This window comes from Homo sapiens, chromosome 7, assembly GCF_000001405.40.
Source record: "Homo sapiens chromosome 7, GRCh38.p14 Primary Assembly".
In the NCBI taxonomy this organism is placed as follows: domain Eukaryota; kingdom Metazoa; phylum Chordata; class Mammalia; order Primates; family Hominidae; genus Homo; species Homo sapiens.
The window spans coordinates 52,343,353-52,363,444 of record NC_000007.14 but is presented as its reverse complement, the minus strand read 5'-3'; the positions used below and the strand labels follow the sequence as shown (position 1 = coordinate 52,363,444).

At 39.6% G+C, this 20,092-nt stretch overlaps 2 long non-coding RNA genes across 3 annotated transcripts in view; both read right to left on the bottom strand.

The window, feature by feature from the left end:
- LOC124901810 (uncharacterized) overlaps window positions 1–20,092 on the bottom strand; it is a 152,886-nt gene that overhangs the window by 63,265 nt on the left and 69,529 nt on the right. The window lies entirely within an intron of this gene.
- LOC107986796 (uncharacterized) overlaps window positions 4,396–20,092 on the bottom strand; it is a 43,869-nt gene continuing 28,172 nt past the window's right edge. The window contains exon 3 of the long non-coding RNA XR_001745210.2: window positions 4,396–5,018. This is a non-coding gene — a long non-coding RNA (uncharacterized LOC107986796). The remainder of the gene's footprint in view (window positions 5,019–20,092) is intronic.

Genomic DNA, 20,092 nt, shown 5'->3' with positions numbered 1-20,092 from the left:
TTGCCACTGCTGGTTCGGGCAGCCTGCTTTTACTCTCTTATCTGGCCCCACCCACATCCTGCTGATTGGTAGAGCCAAGTGGTCTGTTTTGACAGGGAGCTGATTGGTGCGTTTACAATCCCTGAGCTAGACACAAAGGTTCTCCACCTCCCCACCAGATTAGCTAGATACAGAGTGTCCACACAAAGGTTCTCCAAGTCCCCACCAGAGTAGCTAGATACAAAGTGTCGATTGGTGCATTCACAGACCCTGAGCTAGACACAGGGTGCTGACTGGTGTGTTTACAAACCTTGAGCTAGATACAGAGTGCCGATTGGTGTATTTACAATCCCTGAGCTAGACATAAAGGTTCTCCAAGTCCCCACCAGACTCAGGAGCCCAGCTGGCTTCACCCAGTGGGTCCCGCACCTGGGCTGCAGGTGGAGCTGCCTGCCAGTCCTGCGCCGTGCACCCGCACTCCTCAGCCCTTGGGTGATCTCATGGGACTGGGCACTGTGGAGCAGGGGGCAGAGCTCCTTGGGGAGGCTCGGGCGCACAGGAGCCCACGGAGTGGAGGGGAGGCTCAGGCATGGCGGGCTGCAGGTCCCGAGCCCTGCCCCACGGGAAGGCAGCTAAGGCCCAGCAGGAAACTGAACACAGCAGCTGCTGGCCCAGGTGCTAAGCCCCTCACTGCCCTGGGCGGCGGGGCCGGCTGGCGGCTCGCAGCATGGGGTCCGGTAAGCCCAAGCCCACCCGGAACTAGAGCTGGCAGGCAAGCACCGCCGGCAGCCCTGGTTCCCACCTGCGCCTCTCCTTCCACACCTCCCCGCAAGCTGAGGGAGCCGGCTCCAGGCTTGGCCAGCCCAGAAAGGGGCTCCACAGTGCAGCGGCAGGCTGAACTGCTCCTCAGTATGCTGCTTGTTTATGTCTACCAACATTTTATTTGGAATTTTTAATCAATGGTCATAATTAAGATTTTACTACAGTTTTTATGAATTTGAACACTTACGTATTTTGCTTTTCATATCAAAATCATGCCTCTTTCATGAAAACAACTTGGAGCAAAAATGTGGAAGCTATCTCTGCACACTCTAGAGCAGTTTAGAAAGATTAAGGCCGGCCAGGAGCTGTGGCTCACACCTGTAATCCCAGCACTTTGGGAGGCCGAGGTGGGCGGATCTCCTGAGGTAAGGAGTTTGAGACCAGCCTGGCCAACATGGTGAAACTCCGTCTCTACTAAAAATACAAAAATTATCAGGGTGTGGTGGCAGGCACCTGTAATCCCAGCTACTCGGGAGGCTGAGGCAGGAGAATAGCTTGAACCCAGGAGGCGGAGGTTGCAGTGAGCCGAGATTGCACCATTGCACTCCAGCCTGGGGGAAAAGAGCAAGATTTCATCTCAGAAAAAAGAAAGATTACGGCCATGTGGCTCTAATTCATCTGTGAAATGTGGATCTTTTGCATATTTTTTCTTTGATTAAATTATTGCTTTTATTATTAATTTTGATACTTCAGCAGTAGCTTTTGACCATTTTCACTTTGCTAGAAAACTGACCTATTAAACCAGCTTTTGAATTATTTTTGAAAATATATTTCCATTTTCAAAGTGTCAATGTGTCTTATTTGGAGTATTTTGCTTATTTGTACTTAAAAAATATTTTTCTCACTAGTTTCCCTCAGAGTGTATTTTATTTTAATTTTCAAAGAACAAGCTCTCATATTAATATTTATCAGCTTTATTTTTCTAAAATGGCATCCTTATATTCTTCCAGAGGGTGGCACACAGGGTCTGAATTCACAGAACCCACCAATCTCAAGCCTGGTTCTAGAACATGAAATTTTCCCTCTCTTTCTCTGTCTTCTTCACCCCTTCTCTTACTGTCTTTTAAACTATTCCTCTTTAGTATAATTACTGAAATTAATTTAGACTTTTACAAGAGAGCCCAGGAGTTGTCAATTTGGCCTTCAGCCCTAGACGTATCTTTGAAACAAGGAAACAAAAAAGGTCTAACTACTTTACTAGATTGAAAGAACAGTACTCAAATGTATAGGTGAAAGAAAAATTAACATCTCACTAAGATAATCTTGCACATTAACTTCGTCACAACACATTAGAAAAATATCCACATTTATTTTATTCTCTAGGTCAATTTATATTCCTTGAAATTATCGGGTTCCTATAAATCAGAATTACTCTTTTTACAAATCTGTATTATCAATGTTTTTAAAGACAATTTGTGAACATTTGTGATTTGCATCTTCTGTACTTAATGATGTCTCATTTTTCATAGTTCTTGGCAAATATTTGGTAGTTTGTATTTTTCTAGAAGAGTCTTTCAATATGTTATAAGCTAAGGAAGTAGACATAGTACTTTTTAGTTCAATAAAAAATCACTTATTTATATTTACATCTTCTCTTTAAAAAGAGTAGTAATGCAATTCAAATGTTATAAATCCATGAGAACAACAAATATATTTGTATAGGTCTTGCTGTGGATAAAAGGCAGAAAGCAGAGGAAGGAATGGTAATTAGTGAAGCAGGACAGAGGAAGCTTAGGTGAGAATAGATGCATAACAGAGTGCCTGCTGCAGATGAGAAGGAGAGAAGGTGGCTTGCAGAGACGGAGGATTGAGGCTTAGAGAGGTTGTTATAAATGTGTATAAGAATGAGGCAGGACTATAAAAAGCGAGTTCATAGCAACTCAGTATTACACACTGGCATCAACCCTGGCCCTGGCTCCAGCCTACTCAAAGCAGAGTGGATTGCAAGCTTATGATTTACTGCATAGGCAACACATTGAAAGATGTTTCTCTAAAGGAAACAAATCAACTCTTTGGGGGCCAGTCCTAGGAAAGATATTGAGGCACTGGTACCCTAAATCAAAGATTGTCACTCTCAACGAGTTTTTTTTAAAAGCCAGACACTAGTTAAAGGTGATAAAAACAGATTTTATTTAGTGATAACTACTGCAATAGAGGTTAAAGCCCACTGTATGCCTGTAATCTCAGTGACTAGAGAGGCTGAGGTGGAAGCATCACTTGGGCCTGGCAGTTTGAGACCAGCCTAGAAACATAGTGAGACCTTTTCTAAGAAAAAAGCAAAAGAACAAAACAAAGACACAACCCCAAAAAAACCCACTGTAGCCTGAGGTGAATTCTGCCAAAACAAAAGGCAAGAGAGTTTTTAAATGCTATGATATACAAGACAAACAAACAAACAAAAAAACAAAAAAGGCAATGAAGGGCATTATGATGGACTTGATCCCTGAGACTAGCCAATCTGGGTTTGTGATATGGTTTGGCTCAGTGTCCCCACCCAAATCTCATCTGGAATTGTAATCCCCATATGTCAGGGGAGGGACTTGGTGGGAGGTGATTGGATCATGGGGGCAGATTTCCCCCATGCTGTTCTCATGATAGTGAGTGAGTTCTCATGAGAGCTGATGGTTTAAAAGTATGGCACCTCCCCTCTTGCTCTCTCTCTCCTGCTGCCTTCATTCCCTTTTGCCCTCCGTCATGATTTTAAGTTTCCTGAGACCTCCCCAGCCATGTGGAACTATGAGTCAATTAAACCTCTTTTCATCATAATTACTCAGTTTCACATAGTTCTTTGTAGCAGTATGAGAACGGACTAATATAGTTTGCTAATTGGTGCTTTATAGAGGAGAAACAAACATCTCATACCTTCATGACAGGAGGTAGTGATGCAAGTTGGAACAAGGTGACCTCTGAGATTAGGCCCTTCCCCTCCCTCAGGGACTGGGAGAGAGAGTGAGAGCTACTTTTTGAGTGTTTGCATTTCAAAGAGGTGGCTCCCAGGTCCTTGAGGAGACAGTTCTGGGCAGTAGAAGATTTATATCTCCAAGGGGTAGAGAAAGGATTTAGAACTGTAAGCTTTCTAAACTAACTGCTCTGAGAGGTGGTCCAGGGGTTTATCTGGCCATCACTGGGTTTTGGCTAAAACCAACAGTAAATTCTTCTGGCAATGTTGAGGTTTCTCAATTGGGCATTGAAAGGCAGATAGGGTCATCCTGAGGACGTGACCCGAAGCTGCTAGAAGTCATGCTATAGTTTGGTCAGGTCTCTTAGTGTGGCATTTGGGCACAGTCGTTATGTATTAAATGTGAATGGTGACCAACACATTCGAGGAGAGCTGGCAACTGGAAAGAGAAAGATGAGTTAAAAACAATGAGGAGAAAATAGGCTTAGAACAAAATAATGATGCAGATTCAGGGTACAGAGGAGAATTAAGCAACAACACAGTGAAACTAGGCCAAATCAATCTTACAAACCACTCATTGACAACCTTGTAGGCAGACATCTATATATTTATACGAGTACACAAACACATCAATGTGTGTATGTATATATATAAAACAAATCAATTTAATTCAATAGAATACCTTTAAAATAATGTTGAAGATTATTATCTCAAAAAAACAAAATAATGAGGTAAAGATTTAAATATTTAGAAACATTTACACATATAAGAGAATAGAGGAAGAGTCCAAAAGGGAATATCAGTGCTGCCAAGGTCAACAGGCAGCAGATTGCATGGGTACAGTGAATGCCCAGCACATTTAGTGAAACGAAGATCCACAACTAAATCCATCAGTATGAAACTTTAATACATCCTAAAAGCTTTTAGAATGTAAATAAAATATCCTAAGAAGGAATAAAGAGTATTTGAATAAACAGGCTTCTCTTTAGCACTCAGTTCACCAGAGGTTGATTGAAGAAGGCCTTTACATACTGGGGAAAAGTTTCAAACCTAAAAGACTAAAATCATCTCTGAAAATAGAAAATAAATGCAAAGACAGGATAAACAAATTTGCAACTCATCTATTAATTCTAATTAGAGCACACTTATAGAGGAGTCCAGAAAGACTCTTGGGAATGAGAGAAATAAAATGTTCCAACTAATTGAACTTTAATCAGCCCAGAGGTTATGAGGAATGGCAGAGTGCAGTACAGGAAGCCGTTCACATTTGCATCCAGAGTAGTCTCATCTGAAAGTCATGGGGGTCATGACTTTAGGCCTAGAGAAAGGAAAGCATAATCATAGTATGCAATTTGTGTATTAAACCATATTAAGTAGTGATAATTATGTACCAATTGTTTATTTTTAGAATCAATCTGCAAAATCAAATATCGTTATGCTTAGTAATATGAACAGTACAAAAGAAAAGATTCAGAGTTTGGGAGGTGGAGGTGATGGGAAGCATAAGATGATCTAATATGAAATAGAAATTTGGGCTGGGCGCAGTGGCTCATGCCTGTAATCCCAGCACTTTGGGAGGCCAAGGTGGGGGGATCACTTGAGGTCAGCAGTTTGAGACCAGCCTGGCCAACATGGTGAAACCCCATCTTTACTAAAAATACAAAATTAGCTGGGTGTGGTGGCGGGTGCCTGTAATCCCAGCTACTTGGGAGGCTGAGGCGTTAGAATTGCTTGAACCCTGGAGATGGAGGTTGCAGTGAGCAGAGATCGTGCCACTGCCCTCCAGCCTGGGCAACAGAATGAGACTCTGCCTCAAAAAAAAATGAAAATAGAAATTTGTTCTCTGACTTTTCTATTGGGATCTCCTGAAGAGCTAGAAGTATCCTAAATTGTGGAAAGAAAATGATGGTGGAGAGGAGGCTGGAGGAGGTGGTGAGAATGCACAACTCTCACATCAGTGTCTCAGAGATACAGAAATTGTTGTTCTGTGTATTGGCCTCAGCTTTATGAGGTGAAGCCCAGCCGTATTAGGGCATAAGTAGGGCAGCTTTTCATCCATTTTGTTCCATCTGCTGAAGAGTGAAGACGGGGCCAATATTCTGCCATTAGAATAACTGGCAAGTTTATTTTTTAGAGTTTTATTTTCCAAAATTTTCTCTTGATTGGCCTGTTTTATTTGGAAATTGGAAGAGGTTTTATAAAGGCTGTTTGCCAGCTGACATTTTGTACTAGAATTCTTTTGATGGATCTGAATCAGTTGAGAGTGCTGGCCTTTCCAGAGATCTTTTCCTGGCATGAAAGAATTACACTCAAATAACATATTTAACATATTTTTTGCTGCTGAGGTTCTAGATAAAGACACAGTTGCAGACCAGTAGAGAGGTATTATTCATGCATTTCTTCTTTCTACTCTTCTAGAATTTGTCTTATGCTATTAAGACTACTCATTTTCTGTGTTTTTCTTTAATCTTTGCAATTTTGAAAGTAAGCATAAAAATTTGCTACTCAGAAAAGCTACAATATGTTTTGTAAAGTTTTCACACACAGTGTCTATATTATTGTCCAAAAGCTTAGTAATTGGGCTTGAATTTCCTCTTTGATTCAAAACAATTTCAGGAATGTACATTCAAGTTTTCAGCAGTTGCATTTGTTCTTACATTTTTATTAGTAATATGTAGGTTAACCAATTGCTACCTCCACCCATGACTTCTCTAAACATCTCCACCTAGATGCCTGAGTGGCATTTCAGGTTTGATGTGGCTGGAGTAGAACTCTAAATTCCTCTGCCCCTCCACAATCTTTTCCTCTTCCAGTCTTGTCCAAACAGAACTGCAAATGGTACGACAAGCCATTTATCACTCCGAATGCTCATGCCAAAATCATAAACACTATCTTTAATTCTTACTGTGTGTACCTCCAATGTCAAATCCATCAGCCAGTTCCATCTTACCTGTCTGCACTCCTATTATGCCCACTTCTCTCCCTCTACCTCCTTGCTCCACCCATAGCCACCTCTTCCTTGTGCTACTGCATAGTATTGTCATTTGTATTCTCACTTCTATTATTTTGTTCTTATAATAAAATCACACAGCAGCCAGTGTGATCTTAAAATAGAAAACATAGCTTGTCATCCTTTCCATTGTATTTGACATAAAATCCACGCTCTTTGCAATGGAATAAAAGCCTGCACATGAACTGGTGCCTGTGTAATTTGGAGGTCTTGGCTCTTCCCACTGTCTCCCTCATTTACTAAGCTTCTTTCTGTGCATGCACTTCACAAGCTCATTTTGACTTCACGACTACTGGGAGTTCTCTGTGGCTGGAAACTCTGTCCCATTTCTTTGCACACCTGGCTCTCCACACAGAGACATCCCTTCATCACCCAGCATAAATCAGTCCTCCCCATCTCTGCTTAGTCACTTTCTGTCCTAACATCCTATTTTTTTCCTTCTTATATTGTTTCCTACCTTTTGCAACCAAATAAAGTTCATATTATTTAAGGTGTTAATCCCGTTTTAATTATAATATTGGTTACTTCAAATAATATTTAATTGTCTAATGGCAATCTAATATTTAAGTCTGGAATTATTAGCATTTAAAATGCCTAACACAACTCCATTAATAATTTTAGTAATTTATAAAAAGCATTAAATGAGTCTCTTTAAGAAAATACCGATAAAATTGTTCACATATTCTCAAAAACAAATCTTCAAAAAAAAGTAGATCAGGACTATTAAAGCAACTATAAAGACTTGAATGGAAATTTCACTCATCACAAAGATCTACATGGGTAACGCCAAAAACCTTAGACCAGTTTTGCATGGAAAAGTTTCTATTTTAATGGCAGTACTAACAGTATTCTAGGGCAGAAATGATACCCCAGTTACAACAGAGACATAAAGCTGGAGATGGAAAGCTGACAGGCATTGTTTGTTTCTTATTGTTGCCTGTTGCTCCTTGCTTTGAAAATACAAAGCAAAACAAGAAAACAAATATCTCATTCACTTTGGTCCAATTCATGAAATGAAGGCCACAAATTGATTATTCTGACACCATGGCCATCTTAAAAGTGAAGTGTAGAATAAACTGCAACCAAGTGCAACATCTGCATAAAATTAATGGGAAGGAGATGAGCTGTGTGATGGTCAGGAAGCAATCAGAATTTTAGTAGGCACAGAATATCAGGTATGCTTTATTAGGCAATTGGAATGCTGTGTGTGTACATACACACACATACACATACACCTACATAGGGTTTAACTTACACACACACACACACGAGAGAGAGAGAAAGAGAGAGAGAGAGAGAAAGTCTAACTTAAAAATGCAAAGATTAAATCAAATGCCTTATAGTTTGGGTGTTGGCAACTAAAGATCACTTCCCACCCTCATATTAGAGACCCATCCCCAGAAGAAATCCTCTGCCCCAGGATCCAGCTGGCATGAAGAAGTGAGCTGTATGGCAGAGGCGCTCTCCAGGGTGCTGCAGTTGACCCACACATTTTCCTTCTCCACCAATGATTTCATCATCTATCTTTAGCGCACCTCTAGGGGATTTCAAACATCTTTCTACAGTTTCTCATGCCACCAATATAGCAGCGGATGTCAGTATTTTAAGCATTTGTCATTTTAGACAATCTTAGTCTTGACATTTTCTCTTGGTAAGCATGTATTTATCAATAGGCACAGGTATTTTCTCTTAATCTTTGATAAGTAATTTATCAAGGTAATGTAATATGAGAAATGTAGGCATTTGTATTGTATTTTCTCCATAAATTATGTCTGTTGTTGCCCATGGAATCACCACTATCATTTCTGTTCAGTTTCTCACTGGGACTTACTTGGGATATTTTGAAATAAACACAATCAATCAGGCTTTTATTATGCAAGTGCCATAAATGAATACACATATCATGTTTTTAAAAAATTGACTTGGAGGCTGGGTGCAGTGGCTTAGGCCTGTAATCCCAGCAATTTGGGAGGCCCAGGCAGGTGGGTCACCTGAGATCAGGAGTTCAAGACCAGCCTAGCCAACATGGTGAAACTCCATCTATACTAAAAATAGAAAAATTAGCCAGGCGTGGTGGCAGGTGCATGTAATCCCAGCTACTTGGGAGACTGAGGCAGGAGAATGGCTTGAACTCAGAAGGCAGAACTTGGAGTGAGCTGAGATTGTGCCATTGCACTCCAGCCTGGGCAACAAGAATGAAACCCAGTCTCAAAAAACAAAAAACAAAAAACAAAAAACAAAAAGAAAAAGAAAAGAAAAGAAAAAAGAAAACATTGACTTAGAGCAGAACATATATCTTTATGTATTTAATGAAGTACAAATTAAGGCAACAGGCATGTCTGGATGAAGCAAAATCTTTTTTTTTTCTAGCCTGCTGTTAGAAGGGGAAATAAAGCAAAATCTGGACTCACATAGGAACTCTGGTAAAAAAGGTGCTGCAGTAACAGACCACGCTTTAGCAAGGGGATGAACATTACCACTGCAGAGGAGAAAGTTGCCCACATTACACTGTGTGACCAGTGTCAACCTGACCATGGAACTGATATTTTTACCTCCAGAGACAGGTCTCTAAACATTTTGTCACTCTGAACCAGTGTCTTTCAATCTTGTCTACACAGTAGATTTATCTTGGGGTGGTGTGTGTGTGTGTGTGTGTGTGTGTGTTTAATGCCAGTGTCCTATCTTTAAAATTTAATTGTGTCAAAGCCCCATATTGTGAATAGCTTCCCTGTGATTCCAATGTGAAGTCAAGTTTAAGAAGTTGAGAATTATGCTGATTTTTGTGATGGTGAATCAAAAAGAGCCATCCATGCCCACAGACAATGCTTAAGACCTACAGATACTATTCTCAAATTTTGATCCAGTCTTTGGAATCCTGGAGTTGTACTGGTTGCTCCAACAGTCAAAACTTGTACTTCCTGGCTGGGTGCGGTGGTTCACGCCTGTAATCCCAGCACTTTGGGAGGCTGAGGCGGGTGGATCACCTGAGGTCAGGAGTTCTAGACCAGCCTGGCAAACATGGTGAAACCCTGTCTCTACTAAAAATACAAAAATTAGCCAGATGTGGTGGCAAGCACCTGTAGTCCCAGCTACTCAGGAGGCTAAAGCAGGAGAATCACTTGAACCCGGGAGGCAGAGGTTGCAGTGAGCTGAGATTGCACCATCGCACTCCAGCCTGGGGGATGAGAACGAGACTTCATCTCAAAAAAAAACAAAAACAAAAACAAAAACAAAACAAAACAAACAAAAAAAAAACTTGTACTTCCTGAAAAGACACAGACTGGGCTGTCTTAAGCCAGATAACCAGCTTTTAGTCTTTCTCTGCTTGATATAGAAATATTTACCCACATTTATTCTGATGCCACATAATCCAACCCATCACTACTAACTTGACAAGCAAGAGCAGATACACATGGAATCTAGAAGGAACAGGATCAGATATACGTAGCCAGGGGATTTACATGTCAGGAGATAGAAGAGACTGGGCATGGCAGTTGTTCAGGAGGCTCAAAGACCATCTTACGCAGTAATTGGAGCACAGCATTGTTATTTATCATCGTGCACATGTAGTCCAGCGTAGACAGGGAAATCAGAGGCAAAGCTCTGTCTGGAACTGGTTGTACAGGTGAATTCCCCTGGCTCTGGCTTTGGCAAATGGTTTATTTTTTTCAAATGGTTTTTTTTTAGCTTGGGTATGTGAGTGTGCTAGTACAAGACCACTACTCAAAATGATTACCTGATAATTGTGCATGTGTCAATTTAGTTTTGGGCTGTAGTTGTTCTGTTGGATTATGGGAGAAAAAAAATATCAGTTTAGTGAATGGTTGGACTTTAGGCAGAGTGAATCACCCAGGACTGGCTGCAGCCATGGCAGTATGGACCTCTGCTGTCTGGGTAACTAGGGATTGAGATTGTTGTCTAAGGGGATAAAGCACTCTTCTTTATCTTGGAGGCATGTCTTCATTAGTGCTAGGTGCTATGTTTCTGGTAACAGAAGCTGAGTTCCTAGGTCACAGGCCAGAATGAATAGGATTCCTCATTCATCCCCAAGTGCAGCTGGTGACTTTTGTCTGTTTATCTGTTGAAACCTGTTTTGTGGACTTTAGCACTCGTGTGCTAAATTCTTGATTTTCTGGTGCTAGCCACGGCCTTTTTCCATCTTCAAATAAGTCCGTCTCCCTCCCCAGCAGAAAAATAAATTCTGGTTATGACAAAATAATCAACCATAAGGCCTCTTTCTATCCAGGAAATACATGTGTGAGCTAAGAGCATCCTGCCTGGCAATGATAAATGACCCAGGAATTGCATTCATCATAATAGCAATTATGCCAGACTTGCACTGATATTGTATCCAATTTTTAACCCTCATTTAGGATCTATGTCTGACTGAACTTAATACTTTACAGGAGTAACGCTAATTTTTCATTTGACTATAGATGATATTTATTAACAGGTACACTGGTGTTTATTTCAGTGTAAGATCTTGACTCCTGATTTCCTACAATGCAATTTGCTCTCTTGTGCCTCTGGCAAATAGTACCATCCACAACTCCTGGAATCAGATAATAAAATGACCTGTGGGTCAGTGCAGTAAAGACATTTTGACATTGACTGATGTTTTAATAGCTTGTGATGACTTCTTGTGAACAGGATCCCTTGGAAATGGTCTTTCTTCTAGCACTTTCCACTCTTCTTTTTCAGTTTAAGGTAGTGAATTAATGGTGCTTTCACTATTGTTTAACTTTGAGCTTTCCTTTCAGTTAAGTGGTGTTTTATGATGTTTTGCCATAAAGGATATTGTATGAACTATCCCTACAACATTCACAGGGCTTGGAAAGAAAATTTCTCGTTTGGGATTTATTAAAATAAAATCTTCCGAAATGACAAACTATATTAAACCTATTAATTGCCTCCCCTACCATGAACAAAGTTTACTCCTCCCTTAACACAAATTTTATATGCTACACTCCACATGAGATGTTCCACAGGGGGTTCTGGTCTACCTAGAAGAGCTACCCTCTCCCACATGCTTTTATAGCACTCTTGGGGTCTCTCTTGTCTGGGAATTAGGGAATTCGGCATGGACTGGATATTACCTTCCTATTTCTTCCCATCTAGCTCAGTAGCTAGCACTCAGTGAGTGCTCCTGAGCTCCAGCCACCTATAGTTTTCTTTTTCACTTGGATTAAAGCATGTCTAATGTTGAATTACTTACATCATATAAATTTTAAATCAGTAAGATGACTTATATTTTGACTTCAGTATTTATGAAGGTGCATTATTAAACTTTTTAATAACTCAATAAATGACAAAAATACATCAGTATAGGCTGAATTCATTGTATATATAATCTACATGTATAATGAGTATATATTTACTTCAGCATGCTTTCCCTCTAAATATGGAAATATTTATATTATTTTAATTAATTCTTCAATATAACTAGAATTTCAGTAATAGACCATGTTCACTTTTGAGGCTGAATTTTCACATATTTTGATTTTCTCAGATATTAGTCCTGTTGGGCCAGCTTTTCAAAGGGGGCCAGCTGGCTAAGATAATCCTTGTGTCCTTTAAAAAAAAACAGAGTTTAAATTTGTAATTCCAATGATGGCATCAAATTATTTTACCCAATCTATTTGCAACACATAAGTTTACTGACTCTAACACCATTACTTCTCACTTTTAAACTTTTTAAACTCTAATTTTGTCTTCTAGAATGTGTCATTTTTCCAAATATAATTATGTCATTCTGAGTCCCCTCTACTGGAAACCATACTTGGCTGTTTTTCTTTGTAGGACTCTCCCTGGATGTCTTCTTTCTCTATGATCAAATTTCTTGAAAGATGCCATAATCCTGAACCTTTAGCTCCCATAGCTTCCAAGGCTACCTGTCTCCCCAGTGCGTCTCTCATCTGTGCAGAGTCATTCATTTGTGCACACCTGCATGTTTTCATTCTCTAAGTCAGGAATTATGTTAGAACATCTCAATTTTCTTCTTTCTTTCCTTCCTTCCCTTCCTTCCTTCTTTCTTTTTCTTTCTTTCTTTCTTTCTTTCTTTCTTTCTTTCTTTCTTTCTTTCTTTCTTTCTTTCTTTCTTTCTTTCCTTCCTTCTTTCTTTCTTTCTTTCTTTTCTTTCTTTTCCTTCCTTCCTTCCTTCATTTCTTCTTTTCCTTTCTTTTCTTTTTTCTTGCTCCCACCAGGCTGAAGTACAGTGGTGCAATCTCAGCTCACTGCAACCTCCACCTCCCAGATTCAAGCAATTCTCCTGCCTCAGCCTCCTGAGTAGCTGGGACTACAGGTGCATGCCACCACACCCACCTGACTTTTGTATTTTTAATAGAGATGGGGTTTCGCCATGTTGGCCAGGCTGGTCTCGAACTCCTGACTTCAGATGATCCACCTACCTCAGCTTCCCAAAGTGCTGGGATAACAGGTGTGAGCCACTGCACCTGGCAAGAACATCTCAATTTTCAATGATATTTCAGTATTTATTATTAGCCATGTATAAAAAATATTACTCTCTCTGCTTAAGTTCTGTATGTTGGAAATGTTCTAAATTAACTTTTTAATTGTTGATTTCATGATTCTTTTCAAGATAATAAAGGATCTGGCAACTTCCCACTGGTTTACATGGAAGAATAATTTACTTTTCTCTTTCTCATTTAAAGAAAGAATTTTTTTGTTAAGTTTCCAAGGGTTTGGAAGAAAAAGCCTGGGCTCTGACAATAAATTTTCAGGTGCTATTTTCTCCTGAAATATTTGTAGGGATACTTATCATAGTAAAAAAGTGAATGCAATTCCCCTTTGGGAAATACAGCCCAATTCCCTGGGGTCCTGTACATTACAGGTATTAATATGCTCAAGCAATATAAAATGATCTTGAAAACCCAGTGAAATTAAAATGGCTGTATTTTATTTTTATGTGTGTGCAGGGAATGCTTTCTGGCCTACAGAGTTGACACCAATCTCTGTGTGTGTGCTGGTGTGATTTTTCTGTGTGTGTGTGTGTGTATGCATCTTTGTGCAAAAAACAAATATAAACACATTTTCATTTATAACTGTCTGTTCTTGGTGCCCCAGAGGCAGGTGCTCTGGCCTAGAGAAGCCCACTCAGCAGCCATCTCATCTCTCCTGAGTTCTCTCTTTCCTGGCAGTAGCACCAGACCTACTGGCCACCTCAGTTCTTTGCTCCAGTTAAATATGTTGCTGTCCTTTTCCATGACCTTCTCAAAAAATTTGACCTTCAATAAATCATGATTATTACCTACTCAGCCTATCTTCATGGTTGTGTCTATCAAATCTTTTATTCTGCCTTTGCCAACTCATAACAACCACTGGGAAATAAAATTTTTTTATAATTGTCTTTAGCAAGAATTAAAAAATGAGATTCTATTACAATATTAGGACCTCCTTGCCATTACCTTTGCATGGTACTCCCAACGGGGAGCCTGAAAGACACAGGATGAGGTTTTCTGTATTCAGAGTTTATATAAATAACCATGCATTTCAAAAATATCTCCAAATATACTCTTCCAATTAAGTCATATCTTTTGACAAGCTCATCTTTTGAAATTATCACCTTCCTATGAATAATTTAATCAAGTAATCAGATTGTCTAAAACCTAATTTAATTCTACCATGTTCAGTAGGAGCCAGAGGCAGTTCTGGTGCATTGGAAAATTCCTAGAACAGACTCCCCGCACATTCGCAGTAGACTTTCCCAAAGAGGCTCCAAGGTTGAGTCATAGATGAGCTGCCCTTCCTTCTCTAAACTGAGTCACACCAGATTGGATGGGAAGGGACTACAGAGGACACACAGTGAAACAGGTCCCCACCATTCAATTTCTAGAGATGGAGGAGCACAGCCCCTGGGTTTTGCATTTTGCCTCTTGTCTCTTCTTTCTTGTGACACCCAGGCACTCAGGACTTCAGAAATTGAATTGATGTAATCACTCATTCATTCATATTTCCAACCATCCAACAAGCATTAATTGTCACTCTATAGCAGGCTCCCATTTTGTTGCTTAGTGGCCAGGATGCTCTAACTTCAGCATCTGTCTTAGAATTGGCTCATAATTGTTTGAGGAAAAGGATCACCACCTTGCCCTGTTTTCCTGTGTTATTTTCATTTAGATATTTGTCTTGCCAAGAGATACTTTGAGATTTCATTTTTAACTCCTGTTCTTTATTTTAGGGGCATTTTATATTACCTTGATTAATAAGATTTTATATAATATTAACAGTAATACTGTTGCAGTTTTATTTTACCATCCTCATCTCTAAGTTTCAATCTTTTGTATTGGAAATGTGTTGATAATCCAACTAACGAGTGATTAATAGAGACACTGAGGAAATGGAAAAGCGTTGGTTGTGAGAGAGAGAAAGCAGGTCTCCTTGACTTTCTGGTTTCTGATCCAGGTATCTAAGAGGATGGTGATCATGATGAATTTGCTGTGGATATGCTGCATTTAAGGAACCATCCATCAAAAGATGTTAGGCAATTTGTGACAAACTGGGACTCTGGCAAGACCCCTGGACTATAGATGTGGGTTTCTACCTTGCCAAGATTCTTCCTCTCCCCATCTTCTAAAATATCCCTCCCAAACTGCTGCCACAGATGGTTTTTTCATAGATTTTAGGGGGAAGATATAGCCCTGGTTATAATACATCTTAAACATTACATAGTAAACAAAATAATAAGATAAAATTTAAAAATAATAATAGTATTGCATTATAGCACAAATAATAAAATAAATGCCACAAGTCTATATGGGTATAAGTACATGATTAAATACATAAACAAAGAGAGAAAAAAGGACAAATCCTTTTTATAGAAGAATTTCAAATATTAAATGTAAAAGGAAGGAGTGAAAAAGAAAATCACTGTTAGAATGCCACCATAATAATTGCAGCAGATCCACAGATGAATACAAAAATTAGTAGGTAAAGCCTTAAGGAGAAACAAGAAAATAGCATAGCCTCAGAGTGCTTCCCCCCAAATATTTAGTGGCTTTAAGATATGTCTCCAAGTTCTAAGGTCAGGCATAGTTGCTCATGCCTTTAATCCCAGCACTTTGGGAGGCCAAGGCGGGTGGATCACGAAGTCAGGAGATCGAGATCATCCTGGCTAACATGGTGAAACCCTGTCTCTACTAAAAGTACAAAAAATTAGCCAGGCTTGGTGGTACATGCCTATAGTCCCAGCTACTCGGGAGGCTGAGGCAGGAGATTCGCTTGAACTTGGGAGGCAGAGGTTGCAGTGAGCCAAGATCATGCCACTGCACTCCAGCCTGGGCGACAGAGCGAGACTCCATCTCAAAAAAAAAAAAAAAAAAAGAAGATATGTCGCCCAAGTTCTTTAATATTCTTCCTTCTGGGAGGTAGAACTTCATTCCACCCCCGTTGAGTGTGGACTGGACTTAGTGACTCACTTCGAAAACAGAAGACACAGAAAAAGATGAAAATGGTAACTTTGCATGGAGAAACCTGGAAAACATCACCAAATAACCAAGGTTAACCTTACAAGGAATAACTCGTGCTGATATGATGTATCCCATTATATGATTCAATGAGAAGAGCAATTTGATTTTATCTGATATTTGCTCATGATTAGACTGGGATTATATATTTTTTGGAAGAATATCAGATAAAACCAAATTGAATGACATGCTACAAAATATCTGATCCATACTCTGCAAGACTGTCAAGGGCAAGCAGACGTACAGAGTGGACTGAGAAGACATGACAGTGAAATGCAAATCGGTGTCCTGGATTGAATCCTGGAACAGAAAAGGCTTCTTAGTACAAAGACTTATGAATACTTTCTGTAGTTTTGTTAATGGTATTCTACCAATGTTAATTCTTTAATTTTGATAAATCTACCATGGTTATACAAATTATTAACATTAGGGGAAGGGGAGTGAAGAGTAAACAAGGCCTCTCTCTATTATCTTTGCAACTCTTCTGTAAATCTAAAATTATTTCAAATAAAAAGTTTTTAAAATGTTATAGAGTAAGCATTACTCCTGTTGATTATTGTAAGTTCAACAGACATGCAATTTAAGATCCCATAGCACCCATCAAATTAACATATGAAATGAGAGTTAAAGCCTTGCTGTCCCTACAAAAATTAAACCTTACGAAAGTCATTCAAAATCATTTACTCTTTGCTGCTTTTGGAGGAACTGTGATAAACAAACAGACAAGGGGAGGTGAAGTAGGTAATGTAGCAGAAATGGTTGCTTTTGGCACCGCAGACTTCGTTAGGATGAAACAGTTAAAGACACCAGCCACCAGGACCTTAGAATAGCCCTGCTGACACTTATGAGGGTTAATTGGTAGCTGAAACTCTGGTAAGAAGAGAGATGTCTTGTTGACTCTCTTGAGCACTGAGCTGACCCCACCATGCACAGCACTGTGGCTACTTAATCTCATCAGCCTAGAGGAGGCAGCACGGCCTGCTGCATGGGGCAGAGTATGGAGAGAAGGTCAGAGCGTGAAGATCACAGCTTTCGAACTAAACTGCAGGACAACTATAGGCAAGAGATGAGTGTAACAATGGGACTGTGAACAACGATCCAAAACAGAGAAGGCCACATTGGACTTTTGACATCAGAAACACCCAAATCAACTTCTCTCTCAGAAACACAGATACAAAAAGATCAATCCTCACATCTATAGGTAGAAGAAATTCAATGCATGGGAAACATACATAATGTGTTTGTCATGGTTTATGTTATTCTGAAATTCTATGACTATGTACCCTTTGTTTTATTCTTGTCGTGGGTCCATTTTGTCTTTAATGAAAGAATTTCCATTCAGTACTCTATCTCAGTGTCCTCTGTTCAGAGACACTTTAGGTTAATAATAAATTTTCTATGAAAGAAGTTTCATCAACATCTCAGAAGAATGCTTATTATATATATCTCAAATATCTGTCAGATCACCCACAAAAGATGTTCTGAATTAAATTCTTATTCCTAACTCTTGGTGGTCCTGTAGCTAACATAAAATATTTTCCTATTCAGAGGAGCAGAGTGGCTATTTCCTTTCCTTTCCCTTTCTTCTTTCCCCCCTTCTGTTCTTATCTTTTATTTTATTTCCTTCCTTCCTTCCTTCATTTTTCATCTATGAGAAGCTTTATTGTTGTTATTGTGATTATTATATACTGGGAAAAAACAAGTGTTGCAAATGGAAATGAATTCTGGTTTAAAAATTGCTGATTGATACTCAATGAGTTATTCAGCCTTTGGTGTGTGGACTACGTAGGACTTTGAGTAATACACTCTTGATTGTTTAGCTAGAAGTTGAAGATGCAATCATGAAATTGAATCAGTTTGAGCTCTCCTTCTTGTTGGTCTATTTTTATCTTAACATTTTATATGAGAAATAGTTGGAGTGCATCAAAATGAATACGCAGGAGAACATCACAAGTTAAAAACTAGAAGACATTCAAAGCAATTACCCCAGTATGACAATCATGATTGTCTTATAAATAAAAGTTTCTATGATGTCTAATGCCCTTTTCTGACAGAAGGTGAAGTTCATTTATATCCCTGCTTCTTTGCTTCAATATATTCTCAGTAATTCCTATTAACTGACACTAAAGGAGCTTATAAGTTGTTTCATTAGTCACCATTTCCCAGGGTAGAAAAGTGATTAAGACATATGAAATACAGTCATTGATTATGAGGAGGAAAGCTGGATTTGAAATAAAGCCTGGAATTGAAGGACCAGATAAACTGCCTAAGTAGGAGAAAACAGTTCAGACAGAGCTGAACAGGTAAGCCCTAGGAATGTAGACAACTAAAGGCAGAGAGTTTCAACCAAAGAGCAGCACTAGCCTCACTCCACGTAGTTTACAGACACTGGCAGCCCTTTCCGACCCTAGCCTCCTGCATCAGGGCTGCTGCTGCCGTTCTCATTCTTTGTCAGTTACCTACTGCTCTGTTCCTCTCTCTGGCAGTAGGCATTCAATGTGGACACCTGGAGAGATCCCAAGAGAGTCAGGAGAACAAGTATTGTTGTCTCTTTCATTTTGAATGCCACAGAATTACTGGTGGAATACAAAGCAACTCTCAGGAGCACTGCACTTTTCTGTTACATGATTGCTGCCTCTACGCATCCTCTGAGGTGCTCGAGTTAGCCCCCAATTCTCTGGCGTAGACAGATGAAAAGTTGATGAGAACCGACAGGTGAAAATTTACCTGCAGAGCAGGTCATTTCTCTGTCCTGTCACCCTCCTCTTTAAAACTTGGTTGCAATGTTCCATCAGTAGGTAGAAGCCTAGGTTTGTCAGCCGAGTCCCAGAGCCATCATACTCTGTCCCTATGCATACATTCTGTTGTTTTCCTACCTAACATTCACCGCAGTTTCCAGTCTCCACGTCTTTGCTTGTCCTGTGTTTTCTGCCTTCTCCATCACTCTCAGAATTCTAATCATCTGAAATGTTGGAAGTCAACTGTTAGCCTCTTAATCAAAGGCTCCCCTGCACTACTCTCCACAACATAAATAAATGAATGCATTCCTGCTGTCCATTCTCTTTGTCATGATGCCCTGCTGTACATAATTACAGGCACATCATCCATTCTGACCTCTAATATTATAAATTCTTTATTCATTACATCTTAAGCTCTTTAAAAAAAAAGCCACATGTGACTCATCTGTGTAACCTTTTTAGTATTTATCACACTTCTTGACACATAAGCATCTCCTAACATTCATCATGAAAGTCATCACAATGACACTGATAATATTTTACCTTCAAAATGTGTTTTCTCCTATCTGGAATCAAGGAACATATTTTTTCTTTTCCATTGTGTGGAGGAAACAAGAACTGCAAATATGTGCCAGACATAGCAGGATTCTCTGGATGAAGAAGGGGCCAGGCATAATGCCTGCCCTTAAAATGTTCATAGTCTAAGAGCTGGGGCAGACATGCGGCGTGGCCAACACAGTGCCCAGGTGTCAAGGGAGAGATTTGTTCTCAGTGTTTTGGAAACACAAAGAGGAGTTGATTGGTTTTACTGGAGGAAAAGAGGCAACAGGACAAAATATTTTAGGGAAGAAATTATGGGTGCAGATCTGGCCCAACTGAGAAATAAGAAAAGGGAAATCCAGGCAAGAGAAGAGTCCACGCATGGCATGGAGTTGAACTGCAAAGATGATCATAGACCGAGATGACAAAGAGAAATTCCAGTAACAATACAAAGTGGATTGATAACACTGATGTCTCCATACACTGACAGCCACACACATTGACCAACAAAATGACTTGGCATAAGACATTAAAGGAAGGATATCTCACCTTAGATTTGGGTGGACAGAGGTATTTTGGTGGAGGGGGTGGACTTTGAGCAGAGCAGAGTCTCCAGTGACTA